This window comes from Homo sapiens, chromosome 10, assembly GCF_000001405.40.
Source record: "Homo sapiens chromosome 10, GRCh38.p14 Primary Assembly".
NCBI lineage: Eukaryota > Metazoa > Chordata > Mammalia > Primates > Hominidae > Homo > Homo sapiens.
The window spans coordinates 62,472,890-62,491,323 of NC_000010.11; the positions used below are offsets into that span (position 1 = coordinate 62,472,890).

The following is an 18,434-nucleotide window of genomic DNA, read 5'->3' on the forward strand; positions in this document are numbered from 1 at the left end:
CAAAAACAGACTTAGGGTGAAAACAGAGTCTCCTCAGCTGGTTGCCTAGTGCACTCTACCCCACCCCTCCAAGCTCCCTTCCAAGAGGCAACCACTGTGACCTGTATCTTATATTCTTAGTTTCATGATCATCTCCAATTTAGGTTTTTATTTCGTTTCATCGGCCATACGCCCCTTGGGGAAAGGGACCATTCATTCATTCTGTGTAATCTCAGCTCTCCATAAATGTGACTTTACAGAACTGTTTTCTGGGTAGATTCAGGCAGATGGATGCATAAAATTCAAGCTAGGTTTAAGGCTCCAATTCCTGGTAAAATCCAAACACTCTTGTTATTTAGTCATTTACACCTTTGTGGGTCGAGTGGGACCTGAGAGAATATTTTGCTTGGGGGTAGAGCAAGGAGACAGTAAGGAACCTGGGCAAAGTTGGGGAGATTAAGTGGAAAGAAAGTCATCAAACAGGAAGTAAAAACTTTGTTGATCTGACTTCTCCTTTGCTGTTCTTATAGTTCCCTAGTAATTGACTTTGAATAGGAGTAACCTAGCTCCTGTTTGTTAATCTGAGAGGCGCCTAGTATCCTGGTTATGAGTTTCGATTTGGGGGCCAGACTTCCTGTGTTTGTAATACTAGTTCTACTATTAGTTAGTTACGTGACATTGAACAAGTACTTCCACCTCTCTGTAATGAAGTTCTTCATCTGGGAAATGAAGAAGACAAATAGTGTCTTCTTCTTATAGTTGTTATAAGGATTAAGTGGGCTAAAGCTCTTAGAACCATGCCTGGCACATAGTAAATGCTGTGTTAGATGTGTTACTATTCACCTATAAATTGTCCCACTGGGGGTTTGTTAGTGTATCGATTAGAATGCTTTTCTGGCAGCAAGTTGAAGAAAACCAAACAAAGAGGAGCTCAAATAATAAAGATGTTCATTATTCACTCTAACAAGAACTCCAGAGGTTGGTATCAGGGTCGGTAATTCAGTGGCTGGTTGACAGCACCAAGGATGAAGGTTCCTTCTTTCTTTAGAACACCAAAGTTTGAGGGATGGGCACCCCAGCATGTTGGCTTTTGTCCTCAGTCTTCTCTCCTCAGGGTCAAGAATGTCTGTCACTCTTCCAGGAGGCACACATAGACATATTAACATTGAGAGAGGGAGTTAGAAAAGGGAGTATCCCCACCACCACCAGTCCCTTTGAAAGAACAAGTAGAGTGTTCCCAGAAATTGCCAGAAGTTTTCTCATGTTTCATTGGCTAGAATTAGACCACATGTCCATGCTTAACCAATTATTGGATGTGCAATAAGAACCCCATGATCATGGCTGGGGCCACCTTCCATGAAAGATATGGCCATCCAGAGCAGGGCACACAAAATCAGGACTCTCTTAGCCTAGAAAAACAGCAGTAGGTCAGCAACAGGTGTCTCCACCACACTTAGTTTGCCTTTTGATTTCTGGATGGAGTTGCTGAAATTTAAGTTTTCTTACTTGTTTATTCTGGTAAATTATTTTTGTTTTGTTTTGCCTTAATGTGTACCTTTGGCCTCAGATAAATTGTCATGGAAAGTAATACTCTTTGCCATTTCGTGTGTGTGTGTTTGAAAGAATGAGAGAGAGAGAGAGACTATTTCTGTGAGAGCCTATTTTTCTCTCCAGTTCCTCTAAGGAAACCACCATTCAATCTTCTTTACCCAGCTGTTCACATTTCCTAGGTAATCTCAACAGTGTTCATGGTCTCAACTACTGTCAATAAGCCAATGATTCTCCAATCTCATTGTCCACCTCAGATCTCTTCTGAGCTTCAGATATGCATATTCACCTTCTTGATGGCAGTCTTTATTTGCCCATCCTATAGGAATCACAAAGAAGCCCAAAACTAAACGTTTTCTCCCAAGTTGACATAACTAACCATCAAGGAGAATGGGGCCTTCTGGAGTTCACAGTGGAGTAGCTCCAGTTCACATGGTCTTGTCTCTGATTGTATGTTTCTGACATGCTTAATTTCTCTGGATCTTGTCCTGTCAATTTGACCAACTTTTCCTTTAACTGTCTCAATTTCCAACCCTACTTCTTTACTTTATGATCATCAAGTAAGCGGTTTCCTTTTGGACAATGCCTCTTGGGCTATGCACCTGACAAGAATGCATCTTGGCACAGTTGGAGCTCTCCAGCCTGCTGTCTTGTCCCTTATGAAATTCTCATGGCCACTCTGGCAAGACATGGCCTTTCTTCAGGCCACGGTCAGCTCCTTTCCCCTATTTCAACAATGGAGGGTTACAAGTTTGTCATCATCACTTAATTCCTCACAATGGACAAGTGGTCTATCAAATGGGACTGGGGAACAGAAGCCTTGTAATTGGGATGACTCAAATACAATAGAAAGACACTTTAAAGTCTGCAGTGGCATGTACCTATAGTCCCATCTACTCAGGTGCTCTGGTGGGAGGATTGTTTGAGCCCAGGAGTTCAAGGCTGAAGTGCACCATGATTGTGCCTATAAATGAACACTGCATTGGGCAACACAGGGAGACCCTGTCTCTAAATAAAATAAAATAAAATTAAATTAAAAAGACATTTAAAGATACTGTATAATTGTGACTGTTCACTATGAACTGGAATTAAAGAAAACCATACCATCTCATGCTACCTTGAAAGCAAATTACAAAACTTTGAGAGACTACAAGGCTCTCTCAGGTCAGGGTAGAAGAGAGGGAGCTTGCACTCTTTTCTCAAGCTCACCAAGCTGCGACCAGATCCGTGGCATAGAGCCCCATCTAGGAAATGCCCCACGTTCTTCAAATGGAAAAGTGGGAGTCACATTTCCTCCCAGTGAGTTCACTGGCCCCGAGGGCACCATGGCGGGATGAAGCCTTGTTTTGAGAAGAAGCTGGTTTTTCTGAGGCAGGCCCAATTAAGCCACCAGCTGTGATCAATTATCTAAAAAGCCAATCAGGTGCCGGCAGCTGGGTAGTGTGGGGGCTGGATTGGAATTTTCTAGAAAGTTAGCAGACTCTTGGCTGCCTAAAACTTCAATTTGATTTGTATTTATGAAGACCCTCTTAAAACACAGATGGATCTTATTGAATCTCCTGCATATGAGGGGTGTTAGGATACAGTGGAGGGAGCCAAGGTCAAGGTTTACTGTCTGATAAGTTATTAGAGACATATTAAAAAACCTTGGGTTTTCCTGTTCTATGTCTATTTTTTTGTGGGGAGGGGTAGGGTGGGGAAGGGTTTCTATGGCCCAGGGACCTACACCTACTGTGCTTTTTCCTCATGCAGGAGAAAAATCTTCTCTTAGAAAAGGACTTCCAAATAATTTAGTTATTTTTATGCAAGTATCTCTAGGGTTATATAGACTTGAGCTTCGCAGTGCTTTTCAAACTGTTCCTCAGAACCACCTAAGTTTGATAGAGTTTCTACAGAGCCTGATTTGGGAGGAAAAGTGTGCCACAGTTGGGATTCTAACTGATCTTTCCTCCCAGGTATTAAAAAAAAGTTTTATTTTTAAAGTTCTAAGTTAAGGAAGTGAAGGCTTCATTTGGGATAGCAGCCAACAATTAGATATTTTGGAGGGATGAGAAACTTTCATGTAGCTCTGAAATTTACTGTACATGTATTGCTCACTACATGACGTCCTAACTAAGGTCATATTTAAGGTTACAGCTAGAGGAAAAGATTGTTCTGCCACCTGATGCCAAAGAAGCTGTTAAGACTAAGATCTTGTGTTAGGAACTTCAATATAGGTTTCTCTAATTCTTCTTCCATAGAAGTTCTAGAGAAAAAAGTGAAATGCATAAGTCAAATGGTTAAGGAAGCAAATTAGACATTGAAGTGTTCTAAGAGCTTGATCTGAATTGTTTTTATAATTGAAGCAGCCTTATTCTATGTCATGAATGCTGTCTCTCATCACTGTTTGAATTTCAGAAAGCAGAAAAATACCATTTTAATGTTTCATGCTGTTAGGGCATTTGTACACTGGAACCCATTCATGTTTCCTGTTCTGTCTTATTAGTGGGCAATGTCCATCATATATTACTGAGAGAGAAAAAATAGTTGTATCTTAAAATTAGATTTACTATATTGTGATTAATTACTTTTGTCACCAGGAAGCATACAGGAAGTAGAAAATTCAGCATCTCGTTATTGAGTTCATTTTCTGTGCCAGATACCACGCCTGGCATGGGGGGGATTAAAAAGTGGAGCCAGACTCAGTCCCTGCACAGTGGCCCATAATCCAATGGAAGAGAAAGGACTGAATATAATTCTAAGAAAATTGCAAGTGGGTATATGAGGTGGGGAAAGCTAAATAATGAATGTGGCTGGGGTAGGTTTTGAGATGAAGCAGTGGAGAAAGAGAACACTAACTTAAATAAATGAAAAGAGACTGACATCTTAGAGGTATCCTGGTGAAATTTTGGAACACTAAAGATAAAACAATAATCCTAAACTTTTCTAGAGGAAAAAAAGAAAGGCAACTAGAAAGTCCAGGAAAAACTACATGCTAGATAAGAAAATCAGTTCAACTATGAAGCAAACAAATGTATCAAGATTTTGTGTCACTGAGGGTTTAGTGCTTCATCCTTTAGATATGTGGGATTATATCTCCTTCTTTATAGGTCCAGGCACATTACTTGGCATTATGGTGAATAATCTTTACATTATCTTAATATTATTAGCACCGTTTATTGCTGTGACTATCAGAATGAACTAGGTTATGCTGCATATGACCTCAAGTCTTAGTGGCTTCCAACATCAAAAGCTGATTTCTTCCTCATACTAAATGCCCATTACAGGTCAGCTGAAGCCCAGATGTATGTTTTCCTAATTTGGGGCCCAGGCTTTCACTTGAATGTTGTCAGTCTCATGGCAGAGAAAAGAGACATGGTGACCCATGTCTCTCAACACTTCTGTCCAGGAATAGCAAACATCACTTTCACCCACATTTCATTGGCCAAGGTACGTCACATGGCTACTCTTGAATTCAATGTGGGGTGGTGTTTATAATCTTACAACAGGTGGCACCACAGAGGTAGAAACAAAAATATTTGGTGAAAGGTAATACAAACTCTCACAGTCCACCTTTCTGGTATTCAGCTATTCACATCCTCCTTTTCCCACAAGCTGAACATACTCACCCCTTCTCCAAGAAAGACAACCAGAAGTCCTAAACAGTAATTTGGACTTCACCTTTACTGCTAAGGAAAAGGCCAGTCAGTATCTTCAGGTGATAGGAGACAGTCTCTGTATCAGGTATGGATACAGCTTTTCTTGATCCAAAGCTTCAGAAAGAAAAGGAGAAGCCATCTGCCTCTCACATACCCAATATACAGTGATGGCACAGGGACAAAGACCATAATAAACATGCCCATTTGGAAAGGTGAAAGGGGACTCACGACTGCCACCAGTCTCTGTTGATTCTGAAATCCCCCTAGGAGGATATTATCTCAGAGAGGGAAGGATTGCTTGATTAGGACATGGTTCTATTCCCTGGGCATAGCTCCCAGACATTTTCTCCCTTTAGCCCTTTGCTCTATCCTATGGGAAGTCTTACTTTTACATTATTGTCTTTGGCTACATCTCAAGAAAGAATTATAGAACATGATCTCCTTGGGGTCTAGAGAACTTTCTCCTCCTGCTTCAGCTCAAGCAGGAAGGATGGGGAAGAAGCAAGTGTCATTTTTTTGTTTGTTGTTTGTTTTTTTGAGACGGAGTCTCGCTCTGTCACCCAGGCTGGAGTGCAGTGGCACTATCTCCGCTCACTGCAAGCTCCGCCTCCTGGGTTCATGCCATTCTCCTGCCTCAGCCTCCCATGTAGCTGGGACTACAGACACCTGCCACTACACCCGGCTAATTTTTTTGTATTTTTAGTAGAGACGGGGTTTCACCATGTTAGCCAGGATGGTCTCGATCTCCTGACCTCGTGATCTGCCTGCCTCGGCCTCCCAAAGTGCTGGGCTTACAAGGGTGAGCCACCATGCCCTGCCACAAGTGTCGTTTTTTAAGTCTTAAACAATGTTTTAAAATTTAGGCTAGTAGTTCTATTGGTAGTACAATGCTTTAAAAAACTTAATTTCATATCTACTTGATTCTTATCAAAGAATTTCTATTCTGTTTTGAAATATGCCTCTCTAGACATGTTTAATTTCTAGTACCTTGCATCTATCAGACTTTCCAAGGAGACCAACACCCTTAATCTCTTCTCCCTGAGTCATTCTGTCCAATTAAAGGGATTTACTGAATGCTGTCTTACTAAGTTGAAAAGTTCCAATAAATGGCCTGCAGAAATTCCTTGATTTGATCCTTGCCATGAGGCTGAATTTTAGTAGAACTTTGTTGTTCAAAGACATATCCATATTCCTCCCACGTAGAAGAAAACCAGAACATTTTATAATTAGGAACATAATCTGTCATAATTACTCTTAATTTTAGAGTCAACATATAGAAAAAGCACAGAAGACAACTACAGTTATACTGTAGAATTGGAGCACTAAAAACACTAACCATATGAAAAGACGAACATAGCTGACAAAGGTAGGAAGATAAAAAGTGGTGTGTACAAACTACTTTCTTAAATAGAAATCTTGCCCCATACCTCTGGCTCATCAGGCTTTATCTTGCACTCATGGTGATTATATAACTTATCATCTGAACCAGGACACTCTTGAGAGTTGGTGCTATTAATAATTACTTCAGGAAATGGATAAAAACAGAGACTGTTCTATTCAAATCAGGATGTATAATTCCTTACCTGAACTGCCCACTCAGCACATGATCTCAATTACAGACATTGCTGGAATGGTGTGACTTCTCAGTTGTAGAAGACGCTCCTCGTGTCTATCATAGTTTGGCAGCACATAAGTGAAGAGTTGCCAGTACAATTGTTTGCCAGGACCCATGGTTGAAACCACTTCTTTTTTTGACTATTGTTGCTGGCACCTAGATACCACTGCAACTCTACTAACTTTCCTTTTGGCTTTTATGACTAGGAGTCTGCGATTGTGGAATAATGAACTTCGAATGATGTGATTCTGGATGAGGACTTGGATCAAGAGAATCGCAAATTAATTGTGCCAGAGAAGCTTTCATTCATTCAACAAATATTTATTAAGCATGTTTTACACTCCAGGAACTTTACAAGAAACTTGGGCTACTTGGTGACTTTACTCACCAGGAGTGGGTTCAGACTCCTGATGGATGAGCTCCAGGTCCTCCCTAACAAGACTGCAGACTTCCTGAGGGCACAGCCCACCCCTCATGCTTTGAGTTTCTCATATAACCCATCATAGCAAGTAGAAGATGCTTCAGAACATTTGTCCCTATGAGATAGAGTCATATTCTATTTAGCTTGGGACATGGCAGGTACTCAGTTGTTAAATAAAAAATAGTTATTGAGTAATTTATTTATTAAGTTCCATTCCCTTGGTGAAACAAAATCTGGTACTGCACTAAAAGTAAAACACTCAACTGTTTGAGGAAGTCCAGTTTAGCTCGTTTCAGAAGTATTTTTGCCAGAATACTGAAATTCTTTCATGAAGCAACACTATCTTGCTCTTCTCAGATTAGTGACCTTACAACATGAGATGAGGGTGAAGTATTTTTTTCTTTAAGGCATCTTTAGCACAGCCTTATTCAAAATGAAGCATATTCTGAGAGTTTCTCTTAGTCTTTTGAGATGTTGGTTGAAAATCCATCATGACTTCATTTGAAGTATTTATGAAATTGTCAGCTTGAGAAACACATCTGCTCATTTTTTTCACTGTGAAATTACTTCACTTAACAGAGGGGTGCAAATTTGGCAGTCCTGTCATGATTTAAATGGCCTGCGCCTCATTAGTGTTTCCAGCATTTATTTAATAAAATCAAATCAGAATAGCATTTAATTTAGTTTTAATAGGATAGTTAATGTTAACGAAATATCAATTGATTATTAAAATGAAGAGTGCTGAGGTATAACAGATATGTGAGATATAAATCTTGCTGCTATGTCATTAATTCAGAACTACATAAGCAATAAATGTCTAATTAGATTCTTAGTAGTGATGAGTTGTAAGCATTTATTGAGATTCGATAAGATTGATGTTACAGACTTGTGCTAAGGACCACAGCTTAATTAAGAAAAGAGGAACAAACCTTCGTTCCCATTTTCACCAGTCTTTGCCATTTTCTATTTCATATAATATTAAGCTGGAGGAGTGGTGGCAGAGAGAGGGGTGTGTGATCCAAGTACAGTACCTCAGGTAATCCCACAGTGGCCAATAACAAGAGTACAGGGCTGATTATTCTCTGATGAGCTTGGATTTTGGGACTTTGGATAAGGAACTCACTGATATCTTTTCTTTTTTCTTTTTCTTTTTTTGAGACAGAGTCTCACTCTGTCACCCAGGCTGGAGTGCAGTGGCGCAATCTCAGCTTACTGCACCTCCAACTCCTGAGTTCAAGTGATTCTCCTGCTGCAGCCTTCCAAGTAGCTGGGACCACAGGCATGCGCCACCACGCCCGGCTAAGTTTTGTATTTTTAGTAGAGTTGGGGTTTCACCATGTTGCCCAGGCTGGTCTCGAACTCCTGACCTCAGGTGATTGACCTGCCTTGGCCTCTCAAACTACTGGGATTACAGGCATGAACCACTGTGCTCAGCCAGGGACTCACTGATTTCTAATTTCCTTTTCCTATAGAGAAGTTTGGAGATTCAGCACGACATGGCAATATAGTCAGACCATTTCAGTAGCACAAGGTGAAAAGTGGCCCAGAACTAAATGGAGGAGAACAGGTCACTTACGTACTGTGATTTTAGGAGTTCTTGCTACCCCCAAAATATCTCTCCTACTTCCCTCTCATATCGCTTGAAAATCATTCAATTATTCCTTTGAGCTCAAGTTATTATTACCTCTTGATTCCTGGATTATACAAGATAGCCATGAAGTCTGGAAACACAGGTAATTTTATAAGATAAAAGGATAATTGATATAAAAAAGACATGATATGTTCAATGACATTACATGATAACACTTATTGTGTTGTCCCTTGGTAAAAATACATAGCTCAATGTGCTGTGCAGAATTGCAAGTAATGCATTTCATTGATGCAGTATTTCATCATTCCCCATATATGGGTATGTGACATATTGCCTTATTTGTGTCTCTGATTTTCAGTGAAGAAACCTGCATCATTAGCATACCCCAGAAGAAGTAATCAAGTAGGTTCAATCTGTAAGAAATGATTTATCTGTGCTGCCAGATCTTATGGCCACTCTGTATTTTAAGCTAGTATCCGTCAGTTCTCTAATATCATTTGGAAAATTAATCGAACTATTTACTTGTCATATGTCATGGAGATACTTTGACTTTGGAATTAAACACATGATTTTGAGGTTTGTGTTTTGTTCCTAACTATACGGACTTCTGCAACTTACTTAACTTCTCTGGGCATAATGATACTGGGTCCATGGTGTTATTGGGGGAATTAAATGAGATTTAAATGAGATCAGGTATTAAAAATGGCCAGCACAATATCTCCTACATTTTTCCAGATAAAATAGATGTTGGTGACATTTCTTCTTCCCTGTTCTCTTCTACCCCTTTCCCTACCTCTTATCTTATTTCATTACCTTTAATGTACTAACATTGCCCACTCTCTTTTCTTTTGGAGGGGACAGATGGAATGCTGATTCTTAGATGGGTGTGTGGCTTAGTTGCTGGAAACCTGAGGCAGGAAGTGGAGAAAGGGCAAAGAACCATAAAAGGGAAGGTGGTAGAATACTAACAACATAATTTCTTGCTGCTCACATTTTTGCCACAGGCCAATCCTGGCCTAGCTCAGCATCAAAAGCAATCCCAGCTATAGCTGTTGCAGGAACCAGGTTGCTCTGTTATAGAGGTTAAGTACCTTAGAGCAGCTCCTTTCTCTGCTGGAGCTCCCCTGGGGCTAGGCCACTGCCTACCTCAGTTGTGTATTCCTAGACTAGGCAACTCTGAAAGGAGACATCCCAATCTGCATGGGTGTAAACTCTGGTTTCTGGCTTATAATTGTGCCTAACTAATTTATTCACTCAATTATTCATTTGCAAACATCCCCTGGAAGCGTCCCTTAGTTCCATGACCTCTGCAAATCTCTATGGATAGAAAGATGATTCAGAGAGGTTCACAGCTAAACATAGATACCTGCTTGCAATGCCTTTTTACACTTGGAAAACCTGTACCTGTTACAATAGGAACCTTCCAAAGAAAGGAAATCATTAGAAGTCATTCAAATTTTTATCTACAAGGTCAAGCAGTAAATAAGAAATTTGACTTTTTTCCTAGAAAACTCGATATCAGAAGCTATGGGCATATATTTCCCCTATTTATTGCTTTCCTTGTTAGTAAGACTTGGGTACAGGAATCTGACTACGGGAAAGGGTCTTATATTCCAGGCTCCTTTCTTTGCTGTTATTTTGGTGGTTTCCTCTGTTATTTATAATCTCCACCAAAAGTTAAATAAAAGAAGAAAGATTAATCAGGCAGGTTTTATTTTATTTCTTCTATCAACAAGCAACTATTTTCCAAGTCTCTTACTATGCACTGAATATTGTTCTAAGCTCTGTAGGAGATAAATATTCCTTGTCTTCATGGAGCTTTCTCAGTCCAGCTAGAGAAACAAAACTCACTTATTTGAAAAAATGGAAACCAATTGTGGACTAGACTTTGTGGTCTAGTTAATATGAGATCAGAGATGAAAAGAATCACAGTGCACTACATTCTCCAGGCAACAGATTGAAAGAAGGAAAAGAAAGAGGAAATAACTAAGTTCTAGGAGTATCCTATTCCATTTCTGAAAATGTGATCATTCAATTAAGTTTCTGGGGCAAGTTTTATCCTCATTTTATCTGTGTAAAAACCAAGACACAGAAAGAACCTAGCCATATTTCTTTACCTCTCTACAGTCATATAGCAATTAGGTGTTGAAGTTGAATTTTATTCCAAGACCAGTTGATGTCAGGGTTCTTTCCCATAGATAATACTGACGTACCAATGGGTCTTGAGCCAGGTCTTGCCAGATGATATACAGGTATAGAGGAAGACCTGGATACAGGAAGAAGCAAACCCTTCAAGAAGCTCTGGGCATTTGAAGGCCAATGAGGGGTCTAATGAGATCAAAGTGGGCTGGGGATAGTGGGAGACAATATTTTCCTTTAAATTAACTGTATTCTTTGGCATTTTTTTTTCAGTAGAATGATTGATATTGAGTGAATAATGTTTAAGCTAAGCAATAAAAAATAAGTTTGGAACTCTAATGATTTTTATGATAAAGATCTAAAATATAGTTATCTTCTTTCTATACTGTATTTGTGTACAGGAAAAATAAATACATTTCTATTGCTACTCAACTTGGAGCATACAGTACTATGCAGCATAGCTCAAGTGAGTAGTTTATTTGCATACTGTATTAGTCTGTTCTCATGCTGCTAATAAAGACATAACTGAGACTTGGTAACTTACAAAGGAAAGAGGTGTAATTGACTCACAGTTCCACATGGTTGGGGAGGCTTCACAATCATGACAGAAGGCAAAGGAGGAGCAAAGTCGCATCTTATATGGCGGCAGGCAAGAGAGCATGTGCAGGGGAACTCCCCTTTATAAAACCATCAGATCTCATGAGACTTATTCAGTATCAGGAGAACAGCATGGGAAAAACCCACCCCCATGTTTCAATTACCTGCCACTTGGTCCTCCCATGATATGTGGGGATTATTACAATTCAAAGTGAGATTTGGGTGGGGACACAGAGCCAAACCATATCACATACTAACACCTGCAGTTTGGAATATTTTGTTACTGATGTGATTCATGAACAAACAGATGCATTCTGTGATCTGTGGATCTTTGAAAGCAAAGGAGTAGTTTGACAATCCACCATGACGATATATAAATCGTGAGCCTCCATACACCTAGTGACCTCAAAATACATAAAACAAAATTTGAAAGAATCACAAAGAGAAAGTAATTCAGAATCATAGTGAGAGATGTTAATATATTTCTCTCAGAAACTGGTAGATCAAGTAGAAAAAATAAACTAGTTAAAGTGTAGATTTGCATAGCATAACTTAAAAGCTTGATGTAGGCATGGAACCTTGTAGGCATGGAACCTTGTAGTCAAGAGTCCAAGATTGCATTCTTTTAAAGATCTAATTAAACACGTATAAAAACTGATCACACACTAGGGCAGGAGAAGAGGCAGAACAAATTCCAAAGATCTATTCGTATGAGCCATCTTATCTAATCACAGTGAAATAAATTAGAAACTACAAGAAAAAGACAATTGAAAACAACAACTCTTGTAATATCTTTGGGGCAATTGGGCATATGTCTAAAAACGTTAATTGCTGGGCCAGGCACGGTGGCTCATGCCTGTAATCCCAGCACTTTGGGAGGCTGAAGAGGGCGGATCATGAGGTCAGGCGTTTGAGACCAGCCTGGCCAACATGGTAAAACCCCCTCTCTACTAAAAATACAAAAATTAGCTGGGTGTGGTGTTGCGTGCTTGTAATCCCAGCTACTCAGGAGGCTGAGGCAGGAGAATTGCTTGAACCCGGGAGGCGGAGGTTGCAATGAGCTGAGATGGCACCAGCCTGGGCAAGAGAGTGAGACTCCATCTCAAAAAACAAACAAAAAACAGCAAACAAACAAACAACCTCTTAATTGTTAAGGAGGAAAAAATTTGGAGATTAAAACTATTCAGTACTAATGAAAACAGTACTGCATTTCAAAACATGAGCTAAAAGCAGAACTCAGTAGAAGATTTATAGCCTATAAATTAATTCTGTGTCAATAAGAAGTCAATGGAGTTTTCATGATACTTTAAAAATTATAAAGAAAAATTATAAAAAAAACTTTAAAAATTCATAAAGAAGTCAGAAAATAATCAAAAATAGCCAATAGCTAAAACTATTCTTAAAGGAGAATAAAGATTACAGACCTGTACTACGTGATATCCATATTAGTTATGAAGCCATAGTAGTAATAAAGGCAAGGTGGCAATGTGCAGGGATTGATAAACAGATTATCGGATCACAATCTAGAGCCTAGGAATGACATCAAGTGTACATGGGCTTTAGGTGCATAACAGAGGAGTCACTGTCAAATCTGAGGGATGGTGATATGGTTTGGATCTGTGTCCCTGCCCAAATCTCATGTAGAATTGTAATCCCCAGTTCTGGAGGTGGGGCCTGGTGGGAGGTGATTGGATCATGGAAGTATTTCTCATGAATGGTATAGCACCATCTCTTGGTGCTATTCTCATGACAGCAAGTGAGTTCTCATGATATCTGTTCATTTAAAAATGTGTAGCACCTCACTGACCCCAGTCTTGCTCCTGCTCCCACCATGTGAGATGCCTTGTTCTGCCTTTGCCTGCCACCATGATAGGAAGTTTCCTGAGGCTTCCCCAGGAGCTGAGCAGATACCAGTATTTAATTGGTTTGTAGTAGAACCTGCAGAACCACAAGCCAATTAAACCTCTTTTCTTTATAAATTATCCAGTCTCAGGAGGGTGGGTGGAGTCTCACTTTGTCACCTAGGATGGAGTGCAGTGGTACAACCTCAGCTCACTGCCTCCGCCTCTAAGGTTCAAGCGATTCTCCTGCCTCAGCCTCCCGAATAGCTGGGATTACAGGCGCCAGCCACCACACCCGGCTAATTTTTGTACTTTTTTTTAGTAGAGATGGCGTTTCACCATGCTGGCCAGGCTGGTCTCAAACTCCTGACCTCAAGTGATCAGCCCTCCTCAGCCTCCCAAAGTGCTGGGATTACAGGCGTGAGCCACTGCGTCCGGTCCTCAGGTATTTATATATATATATAGCAATGCAAGAATGACTTAATACAGATGGGATGAATTAATCAATTATTGCTGCAGAGGAAAAATTGTTTTTCATACAGAAAAAGTAAAATTAGATCAATGCCTCACATCATACATAAAAACAACCTCCCAATAGATTAAAACCATAATGTAAGAAAACCCTAAAAAGCATTAGAAGAAAATATTAGAGAACACTATGATCTCACAGTAAACAATGATTTCTTGAACAAGACAGCAAAAGCTTGTTTCAAAACAGAATAAATTATTAAATTTGATTACTCCAATTTTTAAAACATCACAATAACAAAATTCAAATATAAGTGACAATAGAAAGAACAGAGATGCCATATTTGTGACATACAAGCCAAACTATAGATTGTCGTGTAGAATATATATGTCAATTAAAAAGACAAAAAAATCTAAAAGAAAAACATCAAAGGGTATAAGCAGTCAATACTTGGGAAAGGAAATTTTAATAATCAAATTTTAAAAAACTAGCACACACACAGATGAGTGAGTATAGGTACAACTGCAGAAATCTGAGTATGACTGGATGATGCATAAATGTCAATATGCTGGATGTGGATTTTTATATTATAGTTTTGCAAACTATTACCATGCAGCAACCAGGCAAAATGAACAAGAGCTCTTGCTGTATTATTTTTTATAACTGCATATAAATCTATAATTATCTCAATTAAAATTTCAATTAAAAAATACAAAATGATGCTCAGCCTTACTGGTAATCAGGAGAATTCGATCTTAAACAGTGAGATACTATTTTACACTCAGAAATTTGGTAAAAATTAAGAATTGTGATCATAGCCATTGTTGGCAGGGATGTGAATATTCAAAGAAAAGGGAATTCTAGTAATTTGCTTGTGGGAGTGTAAATTGGAGAATAATTTTGCAATAGCTCTTAAAATTGGAAGTGTGCATACTCAACAAATTCAATTCTACGTGTATATCCTGAATATGTTACTTGACCGGTGCCCAAGGGGATGGGTAAAAGGATGTTACTGCAGTTGGTAATAATAAACAATTGAAAATAACTCAAATATCCATACGTAGAGTACTGGATAAGTAGATTATGGTATACAATGGAATATTAGACAACAATTAAAACGAATGACCTAGGTCTTTGTGTATCAATATGAATAGCATTTGAAGACATAATGCTGATTGAGAAAAATCAAACTGGAGTGTAACATACACTGTGAAACTATTCACTGTAAGTTACAAACATACAAAACAATTTTCTATATTGTTTATGGAACCATATGTGACAAGAGGTTAAAGTAAGACTCTTTCTGTTTCAGTTTATACTGGTACCCCAAGTGAAGAGACAAAAGTGCTCTTGTATTTTAAAAAGAGATACAAGGCTAGTGTTGCAGGACTTATAAAGGTGTGGTCTGAGGTTTACTCCTTAATTGCTCCTAACTGACCGTAACTCTACTCTTTTTTATTCTTTTTTATTTTTTTTGAGATGGAATCTCATTCCCTTGCCCAGGCTGGAGTGCAGTGGTGCCATCTCGGCTCACTGCAACCTCTGCCTCCTGGGTTCAAGCGATTCTCCTGCCTAAGCCTGCCGAGTAGCTGGGATTACAGGCGCCCACCACCACACAAAGCTATTTTTTTTTTTTGTATTTTTAGTAGATATGGGGTTTCACCATGTTAGCCAGGCTGGCCTCAAACTCCTGAGCTACAGGTGATCCACCCACCTTGGCCTCCCAAAGTGCTAGGATTACAGGTGTGAGCCACAGCACCTGGCCACAACTCTAGTCTTTAAATGAAGAGGGAGATGTCAAGAGTGATCTTGGAAATTAGAGAAAGAATTGCTTTGGAAGATGAATCTCTCCTGTCTCCATCATTTTGGGCACAGCGAGATGGGCACTCTTATCTCAAGTCGGACAAGAGGGGCTTCCCTGGGAGACTGTGTCCACAGTTTGTTGAACACAGTGGCCTGGTGCGGGGTGGAGCTTGAGCAATCTAAGATTGAGAAGGCATGGCTGGGGCTCAGTGTTCCAAGGGCCCTGCAAGGAAAGAGGCTGCACTGGGAATGACCTAGACCATCAGAGTCAGGGATGCAAGATATCCTGAATAATATCTTGGACAAAATAAACCATGAAGAAGAGCCTGCCGATCATACATTTGTTCATTCAACAAATACTAAGTGCCTATTATATGTCAAGCACTGTTTTAAGTATTCAAATCTGTAAATAAACAAGCCGTGATTCTCGTACTCATTGAGTTTACATTCCATTTGGAAGAAACAGATAAAAATGATAAGCATAATATATAATTGAACGATAGAATAGGATATGACAAGTATTATGGGAAAAACAGAGGCAAGGAAGGGGCACTGGAAGTTTTAGAGTGAGGTGGGTATGTAGGGTACAATTTTTAGAAAGGGCTTCACAGCAGGCCTCATTGAGCTGATAAGATCTGGGCAGATGTGGAGGAGGTAAGAGATTCAGACTTCCACATTTTGAACAAAGTCTTTTCTAGGAAGAGAGAATGCCAGTGCAAGTGCCCTAGAAGGGAGCATGTACAGCATGTTCAAGGTGCAGCAGAGCAGCTGGAGTGGAGTGAGCATGGGGTGAGAAATAAGAGATGAAGTCTGAGGTCAGGAAGGTAATGGGCTGTTAAAGTGAGGTGATCGCATAGGGCTTTATAGGCCCTTGTGTGTTCTTTGATTTTATTCTGAGTGAATACAGAAGCCCTGCAAAGCTCTGAGAAGAGGAGCCACTGTGACCTGCTTATGTTTTAATGAATCTCTAGCTGCTGTGTTGAGAATAGGCTGTTGAATGGCCAAGGGTGGGAAAAGGAAGACCCACTGGGAAACTGTGGCAGCAATCCAGGGAAGTGGTGATAGAGGTTTGGGCAAGGGCAGTAGAAGAGGAGATGGTGGGAAGCAGTCAGATTCTGGGATACATTTGAGGGTGAAACCAACAGTATTTCCCAGTGTATTGAACAATGTTAGAAGAAAAAGGGAATCAAGGATATCTCCAGGGCTTAGGGCCTGGGCACCTGAAAGAACAGTGCATTAGTGAGGCAGGAAGGGCTGCAGGTGGTCTGGAGGGCAAGACCAAGAGCTCAGTTTTGGGTGTGTTCATTTTGAGATATCCATGAGACATCAAGTGGTGATGCTGGATGTAGGAACCTGGAGTTCAGGAGGCAGATCTGGGCTGGGATTTCAATGTGGGAGTCATTGATGATGGTCATGTAAGGCCCCTGAGACTAGGATGAAATCATCAGAGAAATAAGAATTTTAAAGAATAAACTCCAGAGTCTTAAACACTGAGACATAAGGAACACAAGGGGGAACTAGGATATGAAATTAAGAGGGGATGATTAATGAGAGAGGATGAAAACCAAGGGAAGTGGTGACCTAGAGACCAAGTGAGGAGAGTGTATTCCAGGGGAGGATGCCTCTGGAATATCAGTGCCACGTGCTGCTGATAGGTCCAGTAGGCTGAAGCTGAGAATTGATAGTTGATGATCATATCAATTCCTGATTTTAAACACCACAATAAAATAAAAATAAGTGAAAAATTCCTTAACATAGTAAAATACATCTATAATGTCTATATCAGTATAAGTCCAAAGCCAGCATAAAATTATTATTTGCAGACAATATGATTGTTTACCTGAAAAACCCAAGACAATCAACCAATGCCCAGGCTGGAATGCAGTGAAGCAATCATAGCTCACTGCAGTCTGGAACTCCTGGGCTGAAGTGAGCCTCCCAAGTAGCTGAGATTACAGGTGTATACCACCATGGCAAGCTAATTTTATTTTTTCAGTAGAGATGGGGACTTATCGTGTTGCCCAGGCTGGTCTCAAACTCTTGGGCTCAAGCAAATTCCTGGTCTCAAGTGATCTTTCCAAAGTGTTGGATTACAGGTGTGAGCCACCACGCCTAATCTGAAAAATTTTAAAACACTAAGAGAACGCAGTTAAGTTTTTAGGCACAGTATTGATATACAGAAATCAGTAGTCTTTTGATATCTGAAACCTCATTGGAACATATAATGGCAAAAAGATCTCTTTTATAATAACAACTAAAAAGATAAAAGACCTGGGAAAAAACAGCACACACAAAAGTATAAAACTTACATAGGGAAAACTTTACAACACTATCAGAGGCCATAAAAGACCACCTTAACAAGTGGAAAACATGGTACATCCCTGAACAAGATTATACAGATGATAATTATCCATTAATCTAGATGCATACTGCAATCCTAATAAAAATACTAATAGTTTTTAATATATTTAAATTGTACAAACTTTTCTAATGTTCAGTGGATAGACAAGTTTGACAATAAAATAAAAAGACATCTTCATGGAAACAAAAAATATTCTAAAGAAAGAGAAAATATAAATGACAGATTGGGAAAAATTTTCAACTGATATAACTGAGGAGTAACTTTATTAATATACAAAGAGCTCCCACAAATAAATAAGCAAATCAACAACTCAATAAAAAATGGCAAAAGAAAATAAATGAGCAGGTAAAAGAAAATATAAATGTTTTAAAATGTATGAATTGATTCTCAATCTCACTACAAATAAAAAAATTGTAAAACTATAATGTAAT

The 18,434-nt window shown here is 39.4% G+C and overlaps 1 protein-coding gene across 1 annotated transcript in view, besides 1 other annotated feature; it reads left to right on the forward strand.

The window, feature by feature from the left end:
- The window catches only part of ZNF365 (zinc finger protein 365), a 105,917-nt gene extending 98,521 nt beyond the window's left edge, over positions 1–7,396 (forward strand). The window contains exon 5 of the mRNA NM_199450.3: positions 6,987–7,396. Within this exon, the coding sequence (NP_955522.1) occupies positions 6,987–7,007 (21 nt within the window). The 3' untranslated portion in view covers positions 7,008–7,396. The remainder of the gene's footprint in view (positions 1–6,986) is intronic.
- Positions 9,614–10,146: an enhancer, noted in NCBI's record as "NANOG hESC enhancer chr10:64242262-64242794 (GRCh37/hg19 assembly coordinates)". NCBI's record gives its function as "activates a minimal SCP1, AML or CMV promoter by ChIP-STARR-seq in naive H9 embryonic stem cells {active_cell/tissue: H9 hESC(naive)}" and the evidence as "EXISTENCE:reporter gene assay evidence [ECO:0000049][PMID:30033119]".